Source organism: Homo sapiens, chromosome 7 (assembly GCF_000001405.40).
Source record: "Homo sapiens chromosome 7, GRCh38.p14 Primary Assembly".
NCBI classification, from domain to species: domain Eukaryota; kingdom Metazoa; phylum Chordata; class Mammalia; order Primates; family Hominidae; genus Homo; species Homo sapiens.
Window position 1 is genome coordinate 129,778,863 of NC_000007.14, and position 26,381 is coordinate 129,805,243.

At 56.2% G+C, this 26,381-nt stretch overlaps 18 annotated features.

Moving 5' to 3' along the window:
• Window positions 621-750: a silencer, noted in NCBI's record as "silent region_18633". NCBI's record gives its function as "represses an Ori minimal core promoter by ATAC-STARR-seq in GM12878 lymphoblastoid cells {active_cell/tissue: GM12878}" and the evidence as "EXISTENCE:reporter gene assay evidence [ECO:0000049][PMID:35858748]".
• Window positions 901-980: a silencer, noted in NCBI's record as "silent region_18634". NCBI's record gives its function as "represses an Ori minimal core promoter by ATAC-STARR-seq in GM12878 lymphoblastoid cells {active_cell/tissue: GM12878}" and the evidence as "EXISTENCE:reporter gene assay evidence [ECO:0000049][PMID:35858748]".
• Window positions 1,041-1,840: a silencer, noted in NCBI's record as "silent region_18635". NCBI's record gives its function as "represses an Ori minimal core promoter by ATAC-STARR-seq in GM12878 lymphoblastoid cells {active_cell/tissue: GM12878}" and the evidence as "EXISTENCE:reporter gene assay evidence [ECO:0000049][PMID:35858748]".
• Window positions 1,041-2,306: a biological region, named in NCBI's record as "H3K27ac-H3K4me1 hESC enhancer GRCh37_chr7:129420163-129421008".
• Window positions 1,461-2,306: an enhancer, noted in NCBI's record as "H3K27ac-H3K4me1 hESC enhancer chr7:129420163-129421008 (GRCh37/hg19 assembly coordinates)". NCBI's record gives its function as "activates a minimal SCP1, AML or CMV promoter by ChIP-STARR-seq in naive H9 embryonic stem cells {active_cell/tissue: H9 hESC(naive)}" and the evidence as "EXISTENCE:reporter gene assay evidence [ECO:0000049][PMID:30033119]".
• Window positions 3,153-3,998: an enhancer, noted in NCBI's record as "H3K27ac-H3K4me1 hESC enhancer chr7:129421855-129422700 (GRCh37/hg19 assembly coordinates)". NCBI's record gives its function as "activates a minimal SCP1, AML or CMV promoter by ChIP-STARR-seq in naive H9 embryonic stem cells {active_cell/tissue: H9 hESC(naive)}" and the evidence as "EXISTENCE:reporter gene assay evidence [ECO:0000049][PMID:30033119]".
• Window positions 3,999-4,843: an enhancer, noted in NCBI's record as "H3K27ac-H3K4me1 hESC enhancer chr7:129422701-129423545 (GRCh37/hg19 assembly coordinates)". NCBI's record gives its function as "activates a minimal SCP1, AML or CMV promoter by ChIP-STARR-seq in naive H9 embryonic stem cells {active_cell/tissue: H9 hESC(naive)}" and the evidence as "EXISTENCE:reporter gene assay evidence [ECO:0000049][PMID:30033119]".
• Window positions 5,557-6,068: an enhancer, noted in NCBI's record as "H3K4me1 hESC enhancer chr7:129424259-129424770 (GRCh37/hg19 assembly coordinates)". NCBI's record gives its function as "activates a minimal SCP1, AML or CMV promoter by ChIP-STARR-seq in primed H9 embryonic stem cells {active_cell/tissue: H9 hESC(primed)}" and the evidence as "EXISTENCE:reporter gene assay evidence [ECO:0000049][PMID:30033119]".
• Window positions 6,069-6,579: an enhancer, noted in NCBI's record as "H3K27ac-H3K4me1 hESC enhancer chr7:129424771-129425281 (GRCh37/hg19 assembly coordinates)". NCBI's record gives its function as "activates a minimal SCP1, AML or CMV promoter by ChIP-STARR-seq in naive H9 embryonic stem cells {active_cell/tissue: H9 hESC(naive)}" and the evidence as "EXISTENCE:reporter gene assay evidence [ECO:0000049][PMID:30033119]".
• Window positions 6,815-6,874: an enhancer, noted in NCBI's record as "active region_26633". NCBI's record gives its function as "activates an Ori minimal core promoter by ATAC-STARR-seq in GM12878 lymphoblastoid cells {active_cell/tissue: GM12878}" and the evidence as "EXISTENCE:reporter gene assay evidence [ECO:0000049][PMID:35858748]".
• Window positions 6,945-6,994: an enhancer, noted in NCBI's record as "active region_26634". NCBI's record gives its function as "activates an Ori minimal core promoter by ATAC-STARR-seq in GM12878 lymphoblastoid cells {active_cell/tissue: GM12878}" and the evidence as "EXISTENCE:reporter gene assay evidence [ECO:0000049][PMID:35858748]".
• Window positions 8,114-8,624: an enhancer, noted in NCBI's record as "NANOG-H3K4me1 hESC enhancer chr7:129426816-129427326 (GRCh37/hg19 assembly coordinates)". NCBI's record gives its function as "activates a minimal SCP1, AML or CMV promoter by ChIP-STARR-seq in naive H9 embryonic stem cells {active_cell/tissue: H9 hESC(naive)}" and the evidence as "EXISTENCE:reporter gene assay evidence [ECO:0000049][PMID:30033119]".
• Window positions 8,625-9,135: an enhancer, noted in NCBI's record as "H3K4me1 hESC enhancer chr7:129427327-129427837 (GRCh37/hg19 assembly coordinates)". NCBI's record gives its function as "activates a minimal SCP1, AML or CMV promoter by ChIP-STARR-seq in naive H9 embryonic stem cells {active_cell/tissue: H9 hESC(naive)}" and the evidence as "EXISTENCE:reporter gene assay evidence [ECO:0000049][PMID:30033119]".
• Window positions 9,136-9,645: an enhancer, noted in NCBI's record as "H3K4me1 hESC enhancer chr7:129427838-129428347 (GRCh37/hg19 assembly coordinates)". NCBI's record gives its function as "activates a minimal SCP1, AML or CMV promoter by ChIP-STARR-seq in naive H9 embryonic stem cells {active_cell/tissue: H9 hESC(naive)}" and the evidence as "EXISTENCE:reporter gene assay evidence [ECO:0000049][PMID:30033119]".
• Window positions 13,560-14,060: an enhancer, noted in NCBI's record as "H3K4me1 hESC enhancer chr7:129432262-129432762 (GRCh37/hg19 assembly coordinates)". NCBI's record gives its function as "activates a minimal SCP1, AML or CMV promoter by ChIP-STARR-seq in primed H9 embryonic stem cells {active_cell/tissue: H9 hESC(primed)}" and the evidence as "EXISTENCE:reporter gene assay evidence [ECO:0000049][PMID:30033119]".
• Window positions 20,750-21,361: an enhancer, noted in NCBI's record as "H3K4me1 hESC enhancer chr7:129439452-129440063 (GRCh37/hg19 assembly coordinates)". NCBI's record gives its function as "activates a minimal SCP1, AML or CMV promoter by ChIP-STARR-seq in primed H9 embryonic stem cells {active_cell/tissue: H9 hESC(primed)}" and the evidence as "EXISTENCE:reporter gene assay evidence [ECO:0000049][PMID:30033119]".
• Window positions 23,313-23,814: an enhancer, noted in NCBI's record as "H3K4me1 hESC enhancer chr7:129442015-129442516 (GRCh37/hg19 assembly coordinates)". NCBI's record gives its function as "activates a minimal SCP1, AML or CMV promoter by ChIP-STARR-seq in naive H9 embryonic stem cells {active_cell/tissue: H9 hESC(naive)}" and the evidence as "EXISTENCE:reporter gene assay evidence [ECO:0000049][PMID:30033119]".
• Window positions 23,815-24,314: an enhancer, noted in NCBI's record as "H3K4me1 hESC enhancer chr7:129442517-129443016 (GRCh37/hg19 assembly coordinates)". NCBI's record gives its function as "activates a minimal SCP1, AML or CMV promoter by ChIP-STARR-seq in naive H9 embryonic stem cells {active_cell/tissue: H9 hESC(naive)}" and the evidence as "EXISTENCE:reporter gene assay evidence [ECO:0000049][PMID:30033119]".

The window sequence follows — 26,381 nt, forward strand, 5'->3', positions numbered from 1 at the left end:
TGCCTGTGGGGGTGGGGAGGTCGATTACGGCACCGCCCGCCCTCGGCCCTAATCGCTCAGAGCCGGCCTCAGTGCCCCTGCCCCCGGCGGGTATTACTGTACACGGTGTCCGGGAGCCCGGGTTGGAAGAGCAAACGAATGGCTCAGCCTGGAGGACACCGTGGAATCGGGCGACCCCTGACCCCGGGTGACACCCTCACTGCCCATAGTCCTGGGATGCGCTGACCGGTGAGGCGCCAGAGGCAAGCCGTCCAGCCGCCGATCTTGGGGAAGGGCTGGGAACCTGGGTGCCACTAGCGCTATTAACAGGAATGGGGCAGTTGAGGGCGGGGAACGGTGTCTCATTCGCGTGCGCCGGGGTTCCCGGGATGAGTGGCCGCGAAGTGGAGGCACACGGGAGGTCTGAGAGCCGCTTTCCCCCAGAGACTGGGCGGGGCGGCTCCGGGCCACGGAAGCAGCCTCGAACCAGCCGCGCAGCCCTGACAAGACGCTGGAGGGGCCAGCTCCGGGGCCCCGGCGCTCTCCGCAGCCCCCTCCCAGCCTGGCGCTTCCGCCTGAGCCCACCAGGGCGGCGAAACGCAGCCCGACCCCAGCCAAACTCCTCGCGGGTAGGCACCTCGCAAGCACCGGCCGCACTCGGACCGCAGCCGCTCCCGCCCCCGCCCCCGCCCGGGAACAGCGCTGGGCGCTGGGCAGACGCCACTGGCGGACCCGGGACCCAGGCGCCCCGTGGGCGCCTCCGCCTGAAGGCGCGGAAGAGCGAGTAGGCACTGCCGCGTCATCCCCGAAAGCCAGCTGCGCCGGGACTTCTGCCCTGCACCCGGGTTCTAGTGCGGCCGGTCCCGGGCGCCCGCCTCCGCCTCCTCTACTGAGCCCCGCTCTGGCTCCGCCCGGCCCGCCCCCCCGCTCCCGGCCCCAGACACTCACCTGCGCCGGCTCCAGGCTGGGCGCACAGCCGCCTCTCAGCTCCGCGCGGAGTCCACACCAGAGAAGCCAGGCAAAAACGGCCCCGGTTTGGAAAGAGCCGCATGGACGGAGCTTGAAGCGCGCCCGGCCCGGGCCCAAACCTCCGCTGCCCCGCGAGAGGGGGCGGCGCCGGAGCGCCGAGCCCAGCGGGGGAACAAAGGGGAGCCGGGACCCGGCCGCGCGCTTCCTGGGTGTCGGGTGACAGGTCTGCCGGGGAAGGCCCCGGCCCGGCCACCTGAAGAGGAGCCGCCTCCGCGCTGCAGGCGGGGGAGGTCCAGAGGGGTACCTGGGCCCGAGGACCGGAAGAACAGGGGGCGCGGGCTGCCCGGACCGCGCGGCTGGACGGAGGCCCTGCGGCTCCGGCACGGCTGCGCGGGGGCTCGACGGAGTGCACAGAGAATGACTCCAGGAGGGTTTTACCGCCCCCCGCCCCGGGCCCCGCCCGCCCCTCGCGCAGCGCCATTGGCTCAGGTGCCGCGAGGCGGGGAGGGGCAGGGGGCGGGCCGGGGATGATTCACCTTGAATGTGGCTCCGGTTGGTGCGCGGCGCAGGGCACGCCCGTCCGGGACTGCGGAGACGCCGGGAGCCCCGCCTGCTTGCCCAACCCGGCCGGGTCTGGCCCCAAGGGGTCCCGTCGCCCGCCTTCTATCCCCGCCTCCTGCCCTCGGGCTAGGGTGCCGCTAGCCGAGGTGCGCCCGGACGCCCTGCCACCCCAGCGCCCTCTGAGCCCGGAGCTAGCCGAGGTGTGTGTGGCGTGGCGTGCTTGGAAATCCGACCCTGGGAGGGGGGAGGGGAAGTGCGTTGGGAGCTGGGGCGCACCGTAGGGCCACTGGACGATCTCTGCAGTCTCCCCGCAGAAAGGTGCTCAAGGCTGACCTGTCTCAGGGGGCGCACCCGGACCCAGGGGCGCAGGGCTGGAATGGGGACAAGGGGCCTCCATGTCCTCACACGCCCACCCTCGGCCAGTTCTGCGGCCTCACAGGTGTCTGGCCACCGCTGCCGCCGCCGCCGGGAACAAAGGCTGTCTGTCCCAAGAGAGGGAGGGGGAGGGGAGCCGCCCCCCAGACCCGTTCCCATCTCCCCCTCCCCCCACTGCGACAGTGGCTCCCTCGGGAGGGGGCGGGGCCAGCCGGGGCTGGGGCGCGGACGCGGATTAGATCCTTCTCAACCGTCCTTTGGTCTGACACCACCCGGAGCATTCAGAAGGGACCGGGGGGCAGGGGCTAGGTCCTCCAAGCTGTCAGCGTTGGGGTGGCCTCTTCCTTCTTCCCCAGCATCCTGAGCACCGGAGCGCCCCCTCCCTCCCTGCTGCTTTGGCTGCCCTTGGCAGTCCCAGCTCCGCCCCGCCCGGCCGCCCCAGACGGCAACGGCAGCTCAAAACCAGATTAAAATAAAACGTTAATCCGCCCTTCTCCTTTTTAGCTTCTAGTTCTTCCCAATCGACCCCCGCAGATCTGGCACCCTAGAAGCCCCTGTAAAATGAGGGTGGTGCTTAGCCTATGCTCCCACCAAACCTAACCCTTGCACTTGAAGACCGTTAACACCTTGTCTTGGGCTCGAGCAAAAGAAGGGGGTGAGGCAGTGGAAGCGGGGCCCGGGAAATCTATAGTTTCCCCACCCCCAGCTCCTGCCGAGCCGGGAGGGGCCAAGGGTGACGGCAAGGATACGAACCCTTCAATATGCCCGACTCCCGGGCAGGGCCTGCTGAAGCCGTAGATGTCGCAGCCAGATGGATCGGGAAGCAAGATTCCCACCCCAGGTGGATAACTGGACGAGTCTCAGGGCCTCGGGGCCCCTCTCCCCATGCAGCCAGGGATGGGCACGGTGAGCGAGAACCCGGACAGCGGAGATAATGAGCACGTCACAGAGCCCAACGGGCCAAAAGGGGGTGATAGCTCCACATTAACCCCTCCCCGTCCTACTAGCATTCCCCCGCCCATCTAGGTCGCCTCGAGCCTCCCTGGCTGTCTCTGCACCCGCGCCCTACCTGGTCCTCAGACCCATGCGATGCTGGGCAACCCGGGCCGGGTGTGCCCAGGACCGCAAAGCGGGAAGCGCAGGCCTTGCGGACTGCGAGTGGCCCCCGCGGCCTGCTGCTCCCCTTTATAACGCGCGCCCCGCCCCCCGCGCTCCGGGCGCCCCGCCCTGGCCCATTCACCTGCTGTCGAGAACCAGACACCGCGCAGCAGAAAGCTAGCCGCTGGGCCGCGAGGTCCGGCCGTCGGAGCGGGCGGGGCTGGGGCGCCGCCGAGACAGATCCGATTTCCACCTTTTCTTAAATGCGCTGCTGAAAGTCGAGAAGGCCCCGGCCGGGGAGCTCGCGTCGCTTCCTCCCCCCTCAGCTCCCCTCGCACCCTGAGTCCCCCAGCCCCACTCCGGGAGGGGCCGCGAAACTGCACCCGCAAGGGCCTCATACATATTTTAAGGAGCAGGCCAGGCAGGTAACCGGAGCTGGACTCGGACGGTGAGGGGGCGGCCCCCGGGGACCTGATACCCTGGATCCCTTACGGCTCAGGGCTCAGGCGGGGGAAGAGGTGGCTCAGGACGACCTGGGGTCCTCACTTTGCTGGCCTGTCCAGCGCATCCTAAGCCCGCGTGTATCCTACCCCCTCCTTCTGCAGATCCAATGTCCGTCTGGCAATTGCCCCATTCCCTCTCGCTGGAGAGATCCCTTCCGCCTCGCCACAGGCGTCCCACGCTGCCCGGAGTCGTGCGCCCCGGGACGGGTAGTTTTGGGTTCCTCGACGCTTGGCCAGGTTTAGGAAAGACCCGCTGTCTTCCTTGCTGCCCCCACCTAGGAGACTCGGCGCCTTGCGCTCCGTCCTTTTTAATGGTGTCGCGGCTTGTCCCTCTGGCTTGCTCCCTCCTAGTCCCTACCCCACACGGCTCCCTTCGCCAGCTCCATGACAATCCCACTCGTGCTGAAGACCTTGGGCAAAGAAGTAACCATCGGTCTTCCCCTCCCTTCCCATTCCTCCGGCGGCAGGACTAGGGGGAAAGGTGCCCGGGATACAAGCCCCTCACGCAGACCCACTGATGCGGCCGTGGTTCTGCCATTGGCCCCTCTCCGAATGGTGAGGTTCTCCTGCTAACCCTGGCCCCATGGCATAACTAGTATAACCCCAGTGAGAGGAACCCAGAGTTCCAGTCCTCCCCTGCTCCAGTCCCTCTGTGATCTCGATCTCGAGGGATTCACTTCACCTCTCTAAGCCTCAGTTTCCCATTTGCAAAATGGGCAGAATGACTCGCACCTCTGGGGATGAAGAAAATGCACATGTGAGCACGTGGGTACTTGGCGACCCGGAGATCTCTGCAAACTGCAGGCCCAGCGAGATGGCCTCAGCACGCCCTGCACCCTCGTCCGCGCGACTGCCGCCGGGTGCCCGCCCCAGCCGCTGTGTCCCTGGTGCTTCCTCCGCCAGGGCCACGTGCCGGGGAAGCCAAAGCGGGAGTCTTTCGATCTTGGCCCAGCCCTTAGCCCTCGGTCCTTTGCTCTAGCATCTAGATTCTCGTGGGTCAACAAAGTCACTGGAAACCCAACGAACTTCCCGACATTTTTCGAAAACCGTATGCGTGTGCTTCTGTGCGTTTTTCCTCTGATCGAGGTAGGGCCCTGTAGGGTTCTGTTTGGACGGGAGGCTGGAGTGGTTCCTTCCCGGCTGCGGGGTCGGAGGATGCAGAGATTCGAAAGAAGGAGAAACACAGAGACTGTCAAATGAAAGGAGATTCTGTCTTCGGAATCGACCCAGCTCTTTAAAAGAATGAGGAAAACATGGGGTCTTTATATATCCTGGAAAGTCGCCTAGGCGTTCAGTGAAAAACGCAAAAGGCACGTGGATTCCTATTTGTGTAAAAATATAAATGGGGCAGGGGGTTAAACATCAGGTTTTTTCTGCACGAAAGGTCTCAGCGCAGAGGGTTGGAGATTTTTCTTTTCATTGTATGTCTTTCGGGACTGTTCGAAGCCAATGTGTGTTGCTTACCATATTCTTGCATTGAATTTTCAATTAAAAAAAGAAACTGCAGGAATTGTTTTTTGTTTGTTTGTTTGTTTTGAGACGGAGTCTCGCTCTGTAGCCCAGACTGGAGTGCAGTGGCGCTATTTAGGCTCACTGCAACCTCCGCCTCCTGGGCTCAAGCGATTCTCCTGCCTCAGTCTCCCGAGTAGCTGGGATTACAGGCGCGTGCCACCACGCCCGGCTAATTTTTTTTCCTTTTTTCTTTTTTTTTTTTTTTTTAGTAGAGGCGGGGTTTCACCGTGTTAGTCAGGATGGTCTCGATCTCCTGACCTCGTGATCCGCCCACCTCGGTCTCCCAAAGTGTTGGGATCACAGGCGTGAGCCACCGCGCCCGGCCAATAAATTGATTTTTTAAAAAGCAACCTGGGCCGGGCGCAGTGGCTCACGCCTGCAATCCCAGCTCTTTGGGAGGCCGAGGCGGGTGGATCACCTGAGATCAGAAGTTCGAGACCAACCAGCGTGACTAACATGGAGAAAGCCCATCTCTACTAAAAATACAAAATTAGCCGGGTGTGGCGGCACTCGCCTGTAATGCCAGCTACTCCGGAGGCTGAGGCAGGAGAATCGCTTGAACCCGGAAAGAGGAGGTTGCGGTGAGCCGAGATCGCGCCATTGCACTCCAGCCTGGGCAACAAGAACGAAACTCCGTCTCAATAAATAAAATGAAATAAAATAAAATAAAATAAGCATTCGGGATGCTGAAGCCTGCAGGAGTTGAATCAGAGGGCGAGCTGCAGAGCGGAGGCACTGGGGCGGCGGGCCTTGCCCGGGCTCTTGGCTCCCATGAATCCTCGATGAGTAGAGAATCGTCGCTCGGAGCAAAGGCGAGAGGAGAGAGAAGCGTGCGGGTGCGGCCCTTGCTGCTTTTTACCAGGCGACACCCCGGTCGACTTTGACCCCCGAGCAGGTGAAACATAAGCGTCCACCCCAGAGGGGTCCCCTACCCAAGTCAGAGGAGAAGGTGGCCTGCCAGGTTAAAGGATCGAGTCCAGCCTCGGTTTCCTCATCTGTAAAATAAGCCGAGAACATCCGCGCCTCTTTCTGGAGAAGGCTGGGAGGATGCCAGAGAGAAACTGCGCGCAGGCCCTGGCGAGGAGCCCCTCCGGCCCATGCGGAACTCTGCACAGGCTGGGTCCCTCCAGGGTTAGAAACCCAGCTTCCCCACCCCTACCCAGCAGGGACCCGCGCTGCATCCCCTAACGCCCCCCAACCCTCTGCACCCAGACCCAAGAGCCGGCCTTCGACGCACCACATGCGTGGAGCCCGGGTCCCAGCCCTGAGGACCAGGTTTCAGGGCTCAGAAGACTCCAGCGAGGTTCCCTCGCAGATTGTGTCTGCGGTCGTTGGGGGAGGGGCCCCGCAGCCTTCAGCAGATTATCCAAAGGTCAGTGACCCAGATATGGTTTTGGCCACGGGCCATGTTTCACTTCCTGTGCCCCAAGCAGAATTTAGCTGAATAATTCGGACCCCAAACCAAACAAAACGCTCTTATTTCCGTTTGGGGATTCTTCGGAGTTGGGATTTTTCTGTCTCAAATTAGAATAATCTGCATTATTAACCACTTAACAGTTATTTGTTGGTTGGCTGCCTGACCTTTCTGAGCCTCAGTTTCTTCGTCTGTAAATTGGGAGCTTACCCAGGTCGGAGGACTGTTGGAATTGGAAATATTCGAATAAGGAAGTGTTTTTGCAAGTGCTTTGTAAGCAGCAAAGCGCTTCTTCAGGGGTCAATTTTTTTTTAGCTCTGCAGTCACCACCCAAATTCGGAAGATCGTTGTGCCTTTCTTGGATGAGAATGCCCGGCTCCAGCCCGGGGATGGGACGGTCTTTTCCTTGCTAGGAGTCCGCTGTGGAGGGGGCGATGCGCTCTGTCCAGGACCTAGGAGTCCCTTTCTCCCTCCACCCTCGGCTCACAGCGGGCAGCTCCCCCGACGCGTACCGCCTCTTTGCCCCCAGCCTGAGGTGCGCTCTTCCCCAGGACGCCTCCTCTGTCCTCTGCACGCCGCCGGCCCTGCTGGGGTTGCTTTCTGCCGCGGCGTCTTCGCGAATATCCCCTCTTGCTGTCTGCCTGGGCGTCCCTCCGGGTTACCGCACACCGCCTCCGACCCTCCCAGGGCGCGGGAGGAGGGGCAGGGCATCCGCGTTCGTGTCTGGGCCCTGGCGGGGAGTCGCGTGGTCCAACCCCTCGTTTTTAAGAGGAGGGATCTGAAGCCCAGCTAGGCTTCTAATTCCAGACAGAGCCCTACGGAGCCCAGTTCTCTGGAGGCTTTCCTGGGGCTTTTTTCACTAGGCCAGGTTGGGTGGGTCTGGAGAGAACTCCCGCAACCGGAAATTAAAGAAATGCAGAGAGAAACCTGGGGAGTGGGGCCACCCTGGTCCCCTGGGCAGGCTCCGGTCTCTGGACCAGTGGGGCAGCAGAGGCCTCGGGAGCTGCAGAGATTTTCCTGGGCACACTCCTGAGGGGTAGGTGCGAAGCTCCTGCTGGGATGCCTAGAAAGAGGGTTATCATGGGGTCCCTGGCTGCCGGCTCACAGCCGCTCCTGCTTGGAGAAAAGGCAGGGCAGAGGGTAGGGGATGCACGGGTGTGGAAGGAGGGGATGGAGGAGAAAGACCACAGGCGGTTTGGGTTGTTGGGAGGGGAGGGGGTGTGTGGGTTGCGGGGGTGGGGGGGAGGTGATCAAGAATGATCAAGAATCCCCGAAGCTCTTTGTTCGTTCTTTGATCTGCTCTTTTTTTTTTTTTTTTTTTCTTTGCTGTTTGTTTGTTTTTTGAGACGGAGTTTCCCTCTCGTTGCGCAGGGTGGAGGGCAGTGGCACAATCTCGGCTCACCACAACCTCCGCCTCCCGGGTTCAAGAGATTCTCCTGCCTCAGCCTCCTCAGTAGCTGGGATTACAGGCGTGCGCCACCATGCCCAGTTAATTTTGTATTTTTAGTAGAGACCGGATTTCTCAATGTTGATCAGGCTGGTCTCGAACTTCCCTTCCGACCTGAAGTGGTCCGCCCGCCTCGGCCTCTCAAAGTGCTGGGATTACAGGCATGAGCCACGGTGCCCAGCCCTTTGATCTGCTCTTTAGGAACCTCCACCAATAACCAGAATCCTTTGATCTGCTCTTTAGGAACCTCCACCAATAACCAGAATCCTTTGATCTGCTCTTTAGGAACCTCCCCCAATAACCAGAATCCAGCAGTCTCTCCGCAGTACCTGCTGTGGGAACCTGCTGGGCCCCCGGTAGAAGGGAGGGTCTGGCCAAGGCAGTGGGGATGGAGTTCCCACAGCAACAGCAGGCCCTGCCCTAAGGGAAGCAGCCTGTGGCCTGTGTCGAGGACTTGGAGCTGCTGTGAGCTCCCTGCAGATGCTGGGTTGGAACCTGGCCTCAGCCTCCAGATGGGCTAGCTTGGGGGAATTCCTGCCCAGCATTTAGCATAAGTCCCTCCTAATGGAAAATGCAAGCCCCACTAGGGCAAGGGCCACATCTGCCTTGTAGACTGCGGTATCTCCTGCCTGACTTTCTCGGAAGGTGCTCCATGAATATGTGTTTGAATTAATGAGCAAGGGCTGTGCAGGGTGCAGTCACAACCAGGGGCCAGCGGGATTCTCCCGCAGGACAGTGAGCGGAGAAACTAAGGCTCAGGCAGGCTAGGCAGCACATGCTGGCCTGGACTTCTTTCTGTCCATCACAGCTGCCTGCTCTGTGCTACCCCTTTTAGCTAGCAATGGCCATGCCTGGGCTTCCTCTTGGGAGGTCATTTCAAGGGAGGCAGAAACTCCTCAGTATGGCTTTAGGGGTATTCTCCTCTTCCCTTTTTCCTGTCTCATGGATATGGTCTTTGAGTGAGCCAATTCCACCTCTAGGCTTCAGTTTCCTCATTTGTAAAGTGAGGGCTGGAAGGAAAAGCCTTTCCTGTCTTCCTTCATCCCTTTATTTTTCTTTTCCAAGACACGTTGAGGCAGAAACAGAGGCAGACAAGCTGGGCTGCACTTGGACCAACGGAGCCCACTATGCTAGATATGCATGGGACAACAGACGTCCCACGCCGCTTCTGGATGTCACATGCTCTTCTAACTGGTTAAACTAGCACATGCGGTGGGGCTTGGTGGCTCATGCCTGTAATCCCAGCACTTTGGAAGGCCGAGGCGGGCGGATCACGAGGTCAGGAGATCGAGACCATCCTGGCTAACACGGTGAAACCCCCGTCTCTACTAAAAATACAAAAAATTAGCCTGGCGTGGTGGCGGGTGCCTGTAGTCCCAGCTACTCCGGAGGCTGAGGCAGGAGAATGGTGTGAACCTGGTAGGCGGAGCTTGCAGTGAGCCGAGATGGCGCCACTGCACTCCAGCCTGGGCGACAGAGCGAGACTCCGTCTCAAAACAAAACAAAACAAAACAAAACTAGCACATGCTACCCCAAGAACTTAATCATCAAGTCCCACAGGTCTGGGTTTTTGTTTTTGTTTGGTTTTTTTTTTAGACAGAGTCTTCTCTGTGTCACCCAAGCTGGAGTACAGTGGCACAATCTCGGCTCACTACAACCTCCATTCAAGTGATTCTTGTGCCTCAGCCTCCAAAGTAGCCGGGATTACAGGCACATGCCACCCCACCCCAGCTAGTTTTTATATTTTTAGTAAAGACAGGGTTTTGCCATGTTGGCCAGGCTAGCCTTGAACTCCTGGCCTCAAGTGAGCTGCCCACCTCAGCCTCCCAAAGTGCTGGGATTACAGGCCTGAGCCACTGCGCCTGGTCTGGATCTTAAAGCAGAGACCATGTGGGCCTTCGAGGAGCTCACATTCTCCTTGAGATGAAAAGGAAGCATGCTGGATAATGCTCCCAGCCTCTGCTGCAGAGAAACCAAAGCTGGCCTGCTCCCCTGCCAGCAGAGACTAAGTGGGGTGGTCTGAGATTGAGGAGCCAACAGACTCAGCAAACACATGCTGACAATCCTCCTCATTTGGTCTTATTCACCAGCAGAGCCCCCATGGGTATAAGTCCAGCCATCAGGTGACAGGAGGAGCGGCTGAGCCAGGGCTGGATTCGGGGAACGCTCCTCTTCCTCTTCCTCCCACCTCCCCAAGCTAGGGTGTCAGGAATGTATCCTAACCTTGGGCCTAGCCTTGGGCTCCCTTCCATCCTTGGTTTTGGAGTTAGGGAGCTGCTCCCCTCCAACCCTACTTCAATGGGTCCCCAACACAAACCCAGGCCTCAGCCCTAGGCCACCTGCCAGCTGATGGGGTCTCTTTAAGGAATTGATTTCCACAAGTCCCTGAAGTGTTTCTTCGGCAGTAAATCTCCTGCCACCCAGGCTTTCTGGCCCATGAATGATTTAGCGCCTTGGAGGGGTTGGAACCGTCTTCCTGTGCAGTGGAGGCCTGCAGTGGTGACATCACAGCTGCAATGGTGATGGATGGACTCTTCTACCCTAATGGGGAGGAGAATGCACAGGCCGCTGGGAGGGGTCAGGCCATGAAAGTAAGTACCCATCTGGCTCCGCAGATTTCTGGTTTGGGGTTCTTACTGATGGACCAGCTAGCTAATTGCCCTCGGAGGTACCTAGAGAAAGGGCCCGAGTCCATCTCTCTGTCCCCAGCCCAGAGGGACACAGGCTCATGTCACTTTGAGGTTTGCCTTTCCAATTCCTAAAGTGCTCTGAATTATACCGAGCGCCGTCTTCCCTTGCTCCAGTGACAGCACGCATACACTCCAACACACACATGCACCTGCATGGGTGTGCACACACATGCACCTGCATGGGTGTGCACACACACATCCACTGTTCTCAACAACTCTCTCAGGAAGTTCATCATTATGTCCCACCTAAACGTTTCTTGCTACTGGGGAAGCCCATTTTTCTCTGATTCCATCTGGAATTGACAGAGAACAGCTGGTCATTATTAGCCATATGCTCCCCCTCCAAGCACACATGGTGAATAGCAGCATGTTCTTGGTCCCTTCTCCACTCAGAGCCCCCTCCCCCATCATCTCTCCTCTAAGCATCAATGACCCTAGTTATCTCTGTTCCACCAGCCTTTGGGGGAAATGACAAGGCTTTAGTCAGTCAGCATCCACAGGGTGCCAACTTCTTCAAGGGAGGGTAGGAAGTGGAGGGGGTGGTCTCTGAGGCAGGGAGTAGCCTCTGCCCACTCTTGCCATCCCTGACACCAGCTGGCCCTGGCCTATCTTGGAGTAAGTATAACTTGGAGGAGGAGGTAAATTTCCTGCTTCAAAATAGCTTCCCCCCATTGCCTATCCTATAGAGACAGCCATTGGCTTGATTTTTCTCTAAGATTGAAACTGGGGTATGCACCATGCAAATTCACTGCTATGGTGCACATCCCGGATTGGTACTGGGGTGTGCAACATGTGAATTCACTGGTATCACATACATGTTAGCATGTCTTAGTTTGGGCATTCCAGTGCGTGTGTAATAATATCTCATCATGGTTTTAATTTACATTTCCTTGATGACAAATGATGTGAGCATCTTTTCATGGGCTTACGTGCCTGTGTGACTGAGTGTGAGGGAGACAGAAGAAAGGCCTGGCTCTGGAGCGTTAGGGGAATGTTGCAGAGTGAGACGCCACAATGAAGGGCTCCAGGCACTTCGGAGCTCACTGTGGAAACTGGGCACAGGTGAGCCAAGAGAGAGCCAAGGAAGCAAGCAGCTTCAACTGAGGCCAGATGGATCATGGTGCACAAAATTCTTCCCTGAACCCTTTTTTTTTTTTTTTGAGACATTTGTTGCCCAGGCTGAAGTGCAGGGGTGTGATCTCAGCTCACTGCAACCTCCGCCTCCTGAGTTCAAGCGATTCTCCTACCTGAGCCTCCCGAGTAGCTGGGATTACAGGAGCCCGCCACCACCTGGGCTAATTTTTGTATTTTGGTAGAGACAGAGTTTTACCATGTTGGCCAGGCTGGGCTTGAGCTCCTGAGCTCAAGTGATCTGCACACCTCAGCCTCCCAAAGTGCTAGGATTGCAGGTGTGAGCTACTGTGCCAGGACCCAAACACTTTTTCATTTTCCCCTCAGATCTCTGAAGGGTGGGAAGATCTGAGGCTTCCTGTGAGTGTGCATTTTCCAAGTTCACTCAGAGGGCACTTGGCAGATGAAGGCTCAGACCCAAGCGTTCTCGCTCCCGGCCTCCATAGTACCACTTTGCTGTTTACAAAGTGCTTTCATGGACATCATCTCATCTGATTCTCAGGATAACCCCATTTTACGAGTGAGAAAACTGAGACTTGGAGAGATTGAGTGGCTTGCTCAAGCCATCCAGCTAGTGAGCTGCAGAGCAGAGGAGACTCCTCGGGCTCCTCCGTTTGTCCCTAGAGAGGCTCATCTGACCTCCACCTCTCTTGTTGGGATTGATGGAGTCCGCTCTGCCCTGCTTAACTCTGCTGGGGGCAACTGCAGGAACTTACTCAGACCACCTGTCCTAGGTGCTGAGCCAGTCCCGACTTAGTTTCAGCTGAGCCACATTTAGAGAACTGTTAACATGGTGGTGTTGACCTTACCTGTAAGACCCCTGGCCACCTCACTCAGGTTGCTCTCAGTCATGAGATTAGAAAACCAAGATATTCCTCCCAAAGACTCTTCTCACATTTGTTGTATCTTCTGTTTTAATCATGAAAATCCAGATATGGCCGGGTGTGGTGGCTCACGCCTGTAATCCCAGCACTTTGGGAGGCCGAGGCGGGCGAATCACGAGGTCAAGAGATCGAGACGATCCTGGCCAACGTGGTGAAATGTCATCTTTAATAAAAACACAAAAATTAGCTGGGCGCGGTGGTGCATGCCTGTAGTCCCAGCTATCCAGGAGGCTGAGGCAGGAGAATGGCTTGAACCTGGGAGACGGAGGTTGCAGTGAGCCGAGATCACGCCACTGTACTACAGCCTGGCAACAGAGCGAGACTCTGTCTAAAAAAAAAAAAAAATCCAGGTACAAAATGCCTTATTACCACACAGGGTGAGATCTCGCCCTGACTTTATTCACTACCTGCAAGCTCAGACCCCCATCTCCGATGGTCCCAAAGCCCATAAGTTGACAGTACCTGTCTGACACATAGTAGGCATTCATTAAATGTTCGTTGAATGAATTTGAATGGGGTTCGTTGAATGGGATTTGTTAATGAACACGGCTTCCTTTTCCTGAACTGTGATTAATTTTAAAACCCAAGAGGAGGGAAGTGACATTTATTGGGTAGGTCTTTCCATTCCTCACCTCTGCCGTGTGAGGTTAGCATTATTATGCCATTTTATGGATGAGAAAATGGAAGCTAAGGCTGGGTGCGGTGGCTCACGCCTGTAATCCCAGCATTTTGGGAGGCCGAGGCAGGCAAATTACCTGAGCTCAGGAGTTCAAGACCAGCCTGACCAACATAGCAAAACCCTGTCTCTACTAAAATACAAAAAAATTAGCCAGATGTGGTGGCACACGCCTGTAGTCCCAGCTACTTGGGAGGCTGAGGCAGGAGAATCGCTTGAATCCAGGAGGTGGAGGTTGCAGTGAGCCGAGATCACATCACTGCACTCCAGCCTGGGTGACAGAGCGAGACTCCATCTCAAAAAATAAAAAAAAGAAAGAAAATGGAAGCTTGAGGGGTTCAATAATTTGGTTACTCAGCTAGGATGGGGTAGAGCCAGCATTTGAACTGGGTCTGAGTGCCACACTGACCCTCTGTCCATTGTACATGAGGAGAGAAATCCTGGGTGTCCCTGGATAAGCCCAGAGGCTTCCAGTGGGCAGGGAGCCAGCCTGAGATCCTGGGCTCTAGAGATGCCTTGGCCTCATTGGGCTGACTGTGTCAGTCACAGATCCTGGTCAAAAGCTATGAATTTCAAACTTTACTCTAGAGCTGTATTCCAATACAGCATCAGCTGAACAACAGAGAAAGCTGCTCTGCTCCAAAGTAGCAGTCTCTAGTCCAGGGGACTTTCCAACCATTTTGAAATCAGCAGTCCAGCCCCTGCCATCCCAGCCTGTGCCTGTCTCAGGCCACACACAGCAGCCATTTGCAGCTTGTGGTTGCTACTGGCCAAGTTCACCAGAGGCCCGGATACCAGCATGATGGTTCCCAGCCCCCCGCCGGGGAGGAGGAGAGGGGGTCATTGTGGAGATGATAATGCTGCTCCATGAATGTCCAACTTCCTGAAAACCACCGGGACACATTTCGTTTATGTGCTTGTTTATCTCAGGCCTGCTTCCAGAAGGGCTCCGAGGAGCAGACAATGAAAGACCACCGACAGAATTGCTGTTCACGGGCCAGGCGCAGTGGCTCATGCCTGTAATCCCAGCACTTTGGGAGGCCGGGCGGGTAGATCACCTGAGGTCAGAAGTTTGAGACCAGCCTGGCCAACATGGTGAAACCCTGTCTCTACTAAAAATACAAAAAAAAGAATCACTTGAACCCGGAAGGTGGAGGTTGCAGCGAGTCGACATCGCACCACTGCATTCCAGCCTGGGTGACAGAGTGAGACTCTGTCTCAAAAACAAACAAACAAACAAACAACAAATACAAAAAACATTAGCCAGGCGTGGCGGCAGGCGCCTGTAATCCCAGCTACTTGGGAGGCTGAGGCAGGAGAATCGCTTGAACCTGGGAGGCGAAGGTTGCAGTGGGCCAAGATTGTGCTGTTGCACACTCCAGGCTGGGTGACAGAGCGAGACTCCATCTCAAAAAAAAAATAATGAAGAAACTGTGTCAAAAAAAAAAAAAGAGCTGTTCATGGAAAAAGAATAACAAAAGCCCCACAGAAGGAGGGGACAGAGTTACACGGAACCTCCAGCCAGTGGTGATGTGGCAAGGGACAGTCTTCAGGTGGCCTTTGTAGCAGCGTGGCTGCTTCCCCTGGGTTGACTCACTTTTCCTCCACCTGATAGTCCAGGGGACATGAGGGGACCAGGTCTTGGCCAGATGCCAGATCTGAGCATTTTTCACTCAGGATTCTCTCGCATTGAGAGACACAGGCTCTGGCAACGGTGCCCAGTGTGAGTGGAATTTGGGAACACTGTGGCCAGGTGGTTGGCACCCAAGCGTTTCCCTGTGTCCTGCAGGCACCCTGCCCTCTGGCCTGCAGCCCTTTTGCCAGGGCCACCATGGCCCTTCCCACAGAGACCAGCACCCAAAGTGGGCAGGAGCAGGGCAAGATCAGGGCCCAGCCTGGAAGCCCTTGCCCAACTGGGAACCCTCAGTAGGAACACATAGCTGCAGCAATACGTCTGGGGCTCCAGGAGGAGCTTATCGCCTTTCTGTCTCTCTCCCTCACAGCCCATTCAGCAGGGGCTTGAGCAGGGGACAGGGAGGCTGGTGAAAGGCCACCCGAGGCTGCTTTTCAATGAAACTATCTGTGTGCAGGATAGAATTACTTGTATCAAGTACACCAAGACTTTTAATCCATTTTGTAATCAAACAGGGCATCTCTCTGGGCCCCTATGAGCCTGAGATGACAGCGTAGTTCCACCCACTTCACAGGTGGGGAAACTGAGGTGATGGAGAGGGTCAGAAGTAATCCCTTTCAGCCCAGCAGGCACTGGGGAATTCTGAGCTCTGGGCTCCCAGGCCACCCCAGACTGGCTGAAGAATGAGCAACACGTTGCCCTGGGTTCCTCCTTCTGTCCCCAGCCAAGATGGGTTCTGCTTCTGGTTGGAGCTCTTCCACCATCTCTCTGTACAACTTTGGGCTAGACGTGTGTGCCTTGGTTTCCAGCTGTGCACCAGGGCAGTGCTGGCCGGTCCGTCTGTTGTCTGGAGTGGCTATGCACCTCAAATGGGACAGAGGAGGGGAGAGAACTTTGCTAAGTAGAAAATGCTAGACCCGGCCAGTCACGGTGGCTCATGCCCTGCAATCCCAGCACTTTGGGAAGCCGAGGTGGGCGAATCACGAGGTCAGGAGTTCAAGACCAGCCTGGCCAAGATGGTGAAACCCCGTCTGTACTAAAAATACAAAAATTAGCCAGGTGTGGTGGCAGGTGCCTGTAATCCCAGCTACTCTACTCAGGAGGCTGAGGCAGAGAATTGCTTGAACCCAGGAGGCAGAGGTTGCAGTGAGCCAAGATCATGCCACTGCACTCCAGCCTGGGTGACAGAGCAAGACTCCGTCTCAAAAAAAGAAAGAAAATGCTAGACCTCCATGAGGGGCAGTCACATGTCATGGCCAGAGGCCACCGAGGTAAGGGAGCACTCCACACCACAGCAGACAGCACTGCCCTGAGGGCCCCAGGGCTTGGGCTCTAGACCCTGAGCGGCCTCTGGAGGCCTTCGGATGCTCATCTATTAAAGCAAAGGGCTGGAGCTCCCTTCCAGCCGGGCACTCTGTGCTGTTCCAAGCTGCCTATGGGTGGTGGGGTGGTGGTATTTCCCTGGTCACTCCCCACCAGGCCTGGGCCCCTGGACACCCTTAGCAGAGGCTGTGTCTCCTCTGGGCACTTGTCCCACCCCTTGAGGAACCCACAGGCTTAGTCCCTCAGCCCACCCGAGCTCCTTGACACGTTTCCAGGACCATAGGACAGTGCGGTGCAGGTCGTGCAGAGTGGCTTCTAGGTCTGAGCCGGCACTCGAGGGCGGGGTCCTGGTCGGGGGGATGGGGGCTCAGCATTTCCCCACACTGGGGCAAGGCCTGGCCTCCACTGTGCGTGCACAGGACTGAAGGCCCCTTCCCAGCTGCATGGAGATGGACGTCCCTGGCCCAAAGGAGCAATGAGACGCCCTCCAAGTGCCCTCTGCAGCTGAAGAAAAAGGCCCTGGGTCTTGGGTGCCCAGTTGAATACAGGACACCATTCAGATTGGAACTTCAGATAAACAATGAGTACATTTTTAGTATAAGTATGTCCCAAATATTGCACAGAATATACTTATACTGGAAGTATTTGTTATTTGTCTGAAGTTCAAGTTTGACTGGGAATCTTGTACTTTTCTTTTTCTTGGTTTGTTTTTGAGACGGAGTCTCACTCTGTTGCCCACGCTGGGAGTGCAGTGGTGCAATCTTGGCTCACTGCAACCTCCGCCTCCCGGGTTCAAGCGATTCTCCTGCCTCAGCCTCTCAAGTATCTAGGATTACAGGTGTGCACCACCATGCCTGGCTAATTTTTGTATTTTTAGTAGAGATGGGGTTTCGCCATGATGGCCAGGTCGGCCTTGAACTCCTGACCTCAAGTGATCCGCCCACCTCAGCCTCCCAAAGTGCTGGGATTACAGGCATGAGCCATTGCGTCTGGCCTTGTATTTTTATTTCTAAGTCTGGTGACTCTACCTTGGTCCTATCCCCTGGCCCACCCCTCAGTCCCTGCTGCTAAAATGTCCCACAGAGGCTGCCGGTGCCCAGTGGGCGCCCTCCCAAGCTTTGAGTGTCTCTGTGAATCTGTGTGCTCCTGATCTTGCAGGCTCTGTTTCTCTCACTTCTGTCTGCTTGAGTCTCGCCCTCCTGTCCCCTGCTGTCTACCTCAGACAGTCCCTCCTCAGCCTCCCTCTGCGTTCCCTGCTGTCCTGCAAGGTGACGCTGAGCAACATGACTAGTACACCTGGTGCTGAGGACTCAGGCTCCCCAAAGGGCCAGCCTGCACAGCCAAAGGGGGTCCCCTGAGGGTGAGAGGAGCGTAGGGGACTGGTCCCTGCTTCCCTGGATATGGGGAAAACCCAGGACTCCAAACTCCAGCCCCTCCCACTCCAGCCACCTGGGAGAGCCCGCTTCACCTGGGAACAGGTTCTACCATCCAGAAGGCAATCAGGCACGTGCCCTAAAGGGGTAAGCCCTGTCCCTTCTGTCCTGGGAGAGGGGCAGGCAGCAGGAACAGCCGGTCCATGGCTGGGCTCCCAGGTCCCACCTGCCTGTGGCAGAGCTGACGAGGGCTGGGAACAGAGGGCTTCACCAGACCTGTCCCACCCACGGCCCTCAGCTAAGCAACAGAAGTGAGCTCCCTCTTCCCTGATGACCCAGGAAAGGGGCTAGGACCTGGCACCACTGGGACAAGCCTGGGAGACCAGCACTGTGCTGGCTTCCTGGCTCATGTGACTTTATTTTTATTTTATTTTATTATTATTTTTCTTGGGACGGAGTCTCGCTCTGTCGCCCAGGCTAGAGTGCAGTGGTGTGATCTCGATTCACTGCAACCTTTGCCTCCCAGGTTCAAGTGATTCTCCTGCCTCAGCCTCCAGAGTAGCTGGGATTACAGGCACCTGCCACCACACCCAGCCAGTTTTTTGTATTTTTAATAGAGACGGGGTTTCACCATGTTGGCCAGGCTGGTCTTGAACTCCTGACTTCAGGCGATCTGCCCGCCTCAGCCTCCCAAAGTGCTGGGATTACAGGCATGAGCCACCATGCCCAGACTTGTGTGACTTTAAACAAGTTACCTAAGCTCTGTGAGCCTCAGTTTCCTCACCTGCAATATGGGGCTAGAAACATACCTACCTCATGAGCATGATGGGCTTCAATTCAATCATCTAGGTCAAGCTCTTAGCACAGTGCACAGAAATGGGACACCCTTGAGGCATATTTCTTCTCTTTGTCTCTGCCGGCCAGGAGCCAATTCCGTATCTTATTACACAATAATTAACCAATGGGGAGGCAGGGAGCGCCCCCTCTACCTCCCAATCTCAGAGGGTCCTGCAGACCCACTGCAACTCCAGAAGTACCATGTATGGGAAGCAGAGATAATTTTGCTCTCAGACGAGGCCTGAGGAGGCCTTTCCCTTCTGGGCCTGGGCCCAGGAAACACGGCTGGCCTTATGGAGAGGAGTCTGGGGAAGGAGACCCTCCCCTGGGGGGATCACATTACCTGAGTGAGAGAAGCTGGGGAAAAAGCTGGGGGCGGGGGTGGGAGGGTGTTGGGGGTGGTGCCAGGCCCGCATGCCTGTGTGCCTTGGGTGTGTGGCCCAGCAGAATTTGTTGGATGCTTTGGGATTTTATTTTTCTTTTTTCTCTAATTTCCTTTGAAAACATATGTTTGGCCTCCATTACAGAAGTCCTGCCTATCGCAGGGAAGCCCACGGCAGACAACGCAAACCCCAGAAAAGCGCTGGCTGCCGTCGGCTGCAGGTTCCTGCATCTTTTTTCCAATGTGCACTTCGTTTTAATAAAAAATGGGACCATTTTGTATACACTGTTTTTGTATCTTCCTTTTCTCACTGCGTAACCTTTTCCCATTTGGGAAAATTCTATTCTGTTGACAATGACCAGCTGCATAGTGTTTCATCTTCTGGCTTTGACTGATTGATTCAAAGCCCATCCTAAGGACAGCTGAGCAGTTTCCAATTTCTGGCTGTTGCGAAAGAGCGAATTTCTTTAGGATACATTCTGATGAGTGGTGTCTTCGGGTCAAAGGTGTGCAAATCGAAAACATTTATTGGTTCATATTACAGAAGCTGCGCACGCGCGCGCGCGCACACACACACACACGCACACACACGCGCACACACACACACACACACACACACACACACACAAAACACACTGTCATAATTCCAGCAGGCGCTGGGCCCTGGCTGCAGGCAGAGGCTTGAGGAGGGCTGACTTGGGCTGAGCTGATGTGGGTTGGCTGCCTAGGGAGCCTAGAAAGTTCTTCATGGGGAGGAGAGATGGGATCTGCCCTGCTTGTCTGTCCTCGGGTTCGAGGTTGGCCATCCCCCCACCTCAGGCTGCAGGGGTCCCGCACCCGCAGAAACATGGACGATTCAATATTGATACCTGGGGACCTGGGGCCAGCTGGGCTGGGTGGCAGAAGAGAGCCAGCCTTCCTACCTCAGCTTTGCCCCCACCCACCTGACCCACCCCCAGCCCACCTTCAGGCCCACCTGAAAAGCTGCTTCTTACTGAAAGCTTCTCTGATCCTCAGCCAGAAGTGCTTCTTCCCTCCTGCAGTACCTGGGACAGACCCCCCAGTGAGGATGGGGGAGACCCCTCCCTCCTGGGGGATGGGCCCGGGGCTTGAGGTGGGAGAGGAGCGGCCTGGGTTGGCGAGACCCTTCCTTCTCTGGGCAGGAGGCCCAGAAAGTCATGTTATGGTGGGTCTTGGAGGGTAGGAGCTTTCCATGTGATCCCATAGGCAGTGGGGGGACGGCAGTGACAGGCGGTGAGGATGGACAGAAGCCGAGGGCAGGAGGAGAGGAGACAGCTGGAAATCCCAGAGACGATGCGGGGTGTGAGCATGGGAGAGAGAATGTGGGGCTTCATAGAGGCGGCTTCTAGAATTGACTTTTTTGCTGACTGTGGGGTCAGGGCTGAGAGAAGCGTCAAAGGCCCAATGTCCAGGTGTCCCTAGCCGGAGAGGTGGGGTTCAAATCAGCCTCCTTCGGGTCCATGCAGCGTGGCACCATGGTGGCTGCCATGCCCTGGCTGGCTGACCTCATGCAAGGCACCGCATTTCCTGACCTATGCACAGGGCATAACAAGCGTGCCCACCTTAAGGGGCTTCGTGGGGTCAAACAAAGCAATGGGTGGAAAGTTCAGGGAACCCCTCAGTGCCCTGGGCTCACACCACCAGTCTCTGAGTCTATTTCCTTACCTGGAGTAGATGAGGTTAACGTGCCTGCCTTGCAGGCCCAGGTATGGAAAGCATTCAGCACATTTGGGGTAAGAGTTCGAAAGCCTAGTAACTAGGGGGCTTACCCCTTAAGCCCATGGGAACTGCTGTGGGATCCCCGTGGTCAGCCTGGGGTTGACATCTGGGGTGTTGCAGGGGCGCCCCCTGAGGGGCTGTGCACTGTCAGCCAGGGAGGGCCTGCCAAGTTATGATGTCCTGCCCTCAGAGACATGGGTAGGGAGGAGGCTAGGAGGGGAGGGACCCCGCCCCTAGCAGCCTCCGGAGACTGAACACAGGCCCAGGTGCCCACCCAGCAGAGAGCTGCCCCCAGCTTCCAGCCCTGGGTCCAGCAGGATGCAGAAGCAGCCCCTGCCCACTGGATGGGGGGCAGGTGGTAGGGGTGCCCAGGTGCCCCTGTGCCCTTCTGCCAGCCAGGCCTGGAGGCCCCAGGAGTAACGAGATAATCACAGCAATTGCAGCGAGATAGGACTGTCTGCTTGTGGAGCACTGAGATGCTGGAGCAGGCGGGGGGCCGGGAGAGTGGCAGGAAGCTTCCTCAGGCAGAGTCGCTCGTCCCACCAGCCGGGGTGCCAGGACTCTCATCCTGGAACCCTGCACTCCCACCCAGCCCTAGTCTTGGTGTCCAGGAAGGGCTCTGAGGCCTTTTGCTCAAATGAGCCCATCATCTAATGAGGGAGAGGAGTGTGGGTGGGGAGCTCTGCGGGCTGCCTGGAACTGACTGTTTAGAGTTCAGGTTATCTTTGTTTACCACTGAGAAAACATAAAGCTGAACACAGGTATTAACTGTGCCCACCTGCTCCTGCCATTGATTCGCTCATCCAGAGTTGCAGCCCATGGCACCAGCAATAAAGGAAATTGCTTTTGAAGTTGACAGAGGCTGGGAATGAAGCTCCAAGACCGACTGGCCCGTCTCTTCCAGGTGGCAGCTGGGTCCCTCCCCACCCACCTGTCCCCCAAAGCCAAAGACACGTAGTTGTCACCAGGGAGCTGGGAAGCAGCCTCCAATCCTGACGTGTGTTTTTTTCCAAGAGACCCTCTGCTGCCCAGGATTATAGGCTCACACCTATAATCCCAGTACTTTGGGAGATCGAGGCAGGAGGATCATTCGAGCCCAGGAATTCAAGGCCAGCCTGGGCAACACAGGGAGGCCCCCATCTCTACAAAAAAATAAAAAATTAGCCGGGCATGGTGACATGCATCTGTGGTCCCAGCTACTCGGGAGACTGAGGTGGGGGGATCGCTTGAGCCCAGGTCCAGGCTGCAGTGAGCTGAGATTGCACCACTGAACTACAGCCTGGATGACAGAGCAAGACCCTGTCCCCAAAATAAAAATAAAACAAAAGACCTTGTGCCTATGTCTCCCAGCCCAACACGGGGCCATCTGCCAGGGCTGCAGCATGAGGGCATGAGGAGAGATGCTAAGCAGGACTTCCTGAGGACCAGCATCTGCAGCATGAGGCAGGGTGTACACTCTCTTCCCGACAGTTCTCTGGGAAAGCAGTGTCAGGCCTGGGGAATCAGAACTGGACAAGAGGCCTTCCTGCCCCAGGCACGTGCTCATCTGCAAGCCTTCCAATGACCTAAGTAGGGGAACCTGCTAAGATGTTCCTCCACCAAGGGGCTTCTCTGCTTTCAGCACCCAGACTCCCACTTCCCCAGGTCGAAGGACCTCAGAGAGGCAGATCATTACCCCAATGCCTCCCAGCTCCGTCTCCCACACCCTTGCCCTCGTCACACCGGGCCACAGCGTCCCTGTGCCTGCAGACTCTTTCCCTACTGGGAAGCCAGGGTCCTCGCCTGGGTTCTCCTTCTTCAAGGTTGGTGTAGTGGAGTGAATGGTGTCCTCCAAAAGATACATACACATCTGGATCCCCAGAACCTGTGAATGGGACCTTATTTGGAAAAAGGGCCTTTTGCAGATGTAATTAAATTAAGGATTTTGAGATGAGGAGGTCATCCTGGATTATCAGGTGGTTCCTAAGTGCGATGACAAGTGTCCTTATAAGAGACACACGGGGAGATGGACACAGCAGAGCAGGAGACAAGGTGATGGTGCAGACAGAGCCTGGAGTGACGCGTCTACCAGGAGCGCCAGGGACTGCCATAGCTCCCACCAGCCAGGAGAGACCCCTGGAACAGACACACTCAGCAGGTGGGGAAGGCCCTGCCCCTGCCTCGATTTTGAACTTCTGGCTTCCAGAACTGTGAGAACCAATTTCTGTTGTTTGAAGCCCCTCATTGTGGTCACGTGTCATAGCAGCTTCAGGAAACAAATGTAGCTGGTGTTCTGGGATGTCACCCACACCCCCAACGTCCACGACAGCCATAAACTGTTGATGGCAAGTCTGTCCCTCCAGGATGGTGTCCATCCAAATTTCAGATCTCTATTCCCAGTGGCGCCGTGGGCAGTGTGGTATAATATGAAAAATATCTGGTCTTTGTTCCTGGGTCCTGGCACAGAGTTCCCAAACCCTTGGAATTTTCTGAGTGATGGAAGCCTCTTTTGTTATTGATAAGAAGCCCTTTCCATACCACTTGAGTTTCTGCTAATGAGGTGACTTATGGTCAAAGGCAGTTCTGCACTCCTACCGATGCTCCCTTTAAGTACATGCAAATTAAGGGGCAGATTATGCAGACATTTCTAGAAAAGGGGTGGTAACTTCCAGGTCATCAGGTCATTGCCATGGGAAGGGGTGGTAACTTGGGGATCTTGCCATGAAAGGGGTGGTAACTTCCGGTTGTTGCATGGCAACAGTAAACTGCAATAGCATCTGTGGGTGTGTCATATGGGCAGGTGCTTTCGCCCCATTTCTATTGTAGCTAGAGTCGTCAAATCAATTCGGTGTGGTGTCCCAGCCCAGCCTCTGGAGTCAAGTTTCACCTCCTGAGTGGAGTCCTGCCTCCTACCTCAGGAAGATTGAGCCCAGGTGTTCAAGACCAGCCTGGACAAAACAGCCAGACCTCATCATGAATTAGAGTAGGCTCCGCCATCTAGGTTTGTGTAAGGACACCCTGTGATGCTCACACAATGACAAAATCACCTAAGCATGCACTTCTCAGGGAGTATCCCTATGACTACTCCCTTTTGTGGACATTCGGGTTGTCAGGTCTATTTCTGAAGCACCCGGAAACAGTCAGTTCTGGCATTTTAGAGAGGTTCTGTATCTGCAGCCTTGTTCTGTGCAAGCCTACTGGGTGTCTCTTTCAGAACATATCCCGATTTCGGAGAAATCCCCCACCATCCTGTCCATGATCGAGGGCACCAAGAACTGATGCTTGAGCCAGACACTCAACCACAAACTGCACTTCAGGGAGGCCCACAGCCTTTGAGGAGGTTTGGAGTCCGCTGCCTAATTAGGGCTCTTCATCTTGGTAGGTAACACAGGAGGGAGTGGAGCCTGGGGTTTAGGAAGTGTGGCACCGTTAGCATACACAGAGGAAGCTCATAAGTGCTCTGCAGGAGCCCAAATGGTGCTGAGGTCTGTTTCATACGAAGAGTCTCGGAGGCCAGGATTCAGCTGAGGAGACAGATTCCTGTCCTCGGGTCTCCCTGCCATAACTCTGGAAGACAACCTTGAACCAGTGGATATGATTCTTGTAGGATATTAAATATGTCTCTTTTCACAGTCATGCTATTTATTTACTCAACACTTTTTATTTTTTTTGAGACAGAGTATTGTTCTGTGGCCCAGGCTGGAGGGCAGTGGCACAATCTTGGCTCACTGCAACCTCCGCCTCCCGGTTCAAGCAATTACCATGCCTCAGCCTTCCGAGTATCTGGGGTTACAGGCCTCCGCCACCTTGCCCGGGTAATTTTTTGTATTTTTAGTAGAGATGGGGTTTCACCATGTTGGCCAGGCTGGTCTCAAACTCCTGACCTCAGGTGAGGATCTGCTTGCCTCAGGCTCCCAAAGTGCTGGGATTACAGGTGTGAGCCACCTCACCCAGCCTTTTTTTTTTCTTCATATAGGGTGCAAAGGTACATTCTCTCCCGCTCTTATTATCACAAATGTCAAATTATGAATTAAAGATGTTTTATTGTAGCTGCTCTTGCAATGTGAATGTGTGTGTGTGTGTGTGTGTGTGTGTGTGTGTGTGTGTGTGTGTGAATGTGTCATATTTGCATTTGGGCCGGACCTGAATGAATGACTTTAGAATGAGACTCTAATGAGGATGACACAGGCGGCTTTCGAGGGATGAGACCTCCCCGGAGAAGGACAGAGACATTATTTGGCTGTCTTCTTTCCGGAGGGTAAGGATTTGGCTAAGAATTTTAAACACTCACGTCCTCCAGCTCACAGGAGTGGGTCAAGAGCAGCTAGAGGGAGTGCAGAGAGGCCGGTGTCGATGTTCCAGAAAAGTGAGACGAGGGATGTGGTCGATGACTGCCCTGCCAGCCGGGTGCAAATAATGCATGGGAAGGTATACAAGTCCGGTGGAAAGAACCCTGGGCTGGCGATAAGGAGATTGGCCTGTGACCTTGGGTGAGTTCTGTTTGGCTTTGAGCAAGTCGCTTAAGCTCTCTGTGCTGAAGCATGTGACCGCGCATGGAAAACAGGCCAGAGATCGGCCTCCGTACCTCAGGAGACTGAGTGGGTTGTTAGGTACAAAATGCCTGAAGTCCTTTCCACAGCAAGGCAGGGCATACACAGACCTATCAATAAAACTGAAGGCATCAGGAATCCTGGTGGGGAAACTGAGGCCCAGCCCAGGAAAGCCCTGTGCCCAAGGATCCGGGGATTGTCTCCATCCTGCCTTTAGGGAAAAGCAAGCTACCCATCTAGGGTCTGGGTAGAGCACCCCGGGAAGAGCAAGGAGACATCCCAGATGGAGGCCCTGCCAGGAACACAGGCCATTTCCCTTGCAAAGATGAAATTCAAATCTGAGGTGGCATCAGTGCCAGGGGAGGCAGCTGGGCACAGATGTGTCTTGGGAGGATCTGGGGGCAGCGGATCATGTCACATGAGAGCACCGGACCAGGATTCGGCCTGACCCCTCCCTCCTGTGACTCTGAGCCCTCAGGCTGTGGGGGCTGACTGTCCCACCGCCCAGGTCATTCTCGGCACTGCCCCAGAGCCATAGCGGAGGCAGGGCTGGCATAAAGGGGGCCCTGGGACGACCCCAGGCCCTAAGGCCTCCAGGCCTGTCCGGGCCGCCCAGCTAGGGAGGCTGAGATGGCCGCTCGGCCCCAGCCAGCATATGCATTAGTAATGGCCACTGATCCTGCTGGCCCCGCGCCCTGTTTCCAGAGTGGGGCAGTAATCTGAGCCCGGCTGCCCACTGCCTCCAGGCTCCACCCTACGTTGCTGGGGCCATTGAATGCCTCTACTTTTCCTTGTTCTCAGCTCTGCATCGAAATGAAGAGAAACACAAACCAGCGATGTCTCCTCAACGTCCTGGGCGTTAGCTGTTCCCACCATCACTTCATAGAGAGGTTTCTGGATGGGAAGCGTTAGGAAAGACCCAGGGAGGCCTCTGAGGACACCTTGCGCAGATGTGAGGCCTTCCTGGGCTGGGCCTCAGTTTCCTTACTGGGGGTGGACAGGTCTGTTCTGAGGCTGTCACTGGCACTGATGTTCTGGGGTCCTGGGGCCCATTGCTTGCCCTAATGTGGGGGGTCACTCTGGTGGAGGGGACCCGGTCAGACCATAGCAGGCTAGACCGTGTGTGGTGACAGCAACACGGCCCAGTGGCAGAGGCTCCTGGGGGTGGGGGCATTAGGGGATGAAGCAGGCCTGGAGGATGGGTGGATCCAGAGAGCACTGGTGAGTGGGGGGGGTGCCTCAGCTCAGGGGGCAGGCCTGCGGGATGGGGGGACCCCTGGGACATTTATCCAGCCTGAGACTGGAGGCAGCTCTTCTTACCTTCC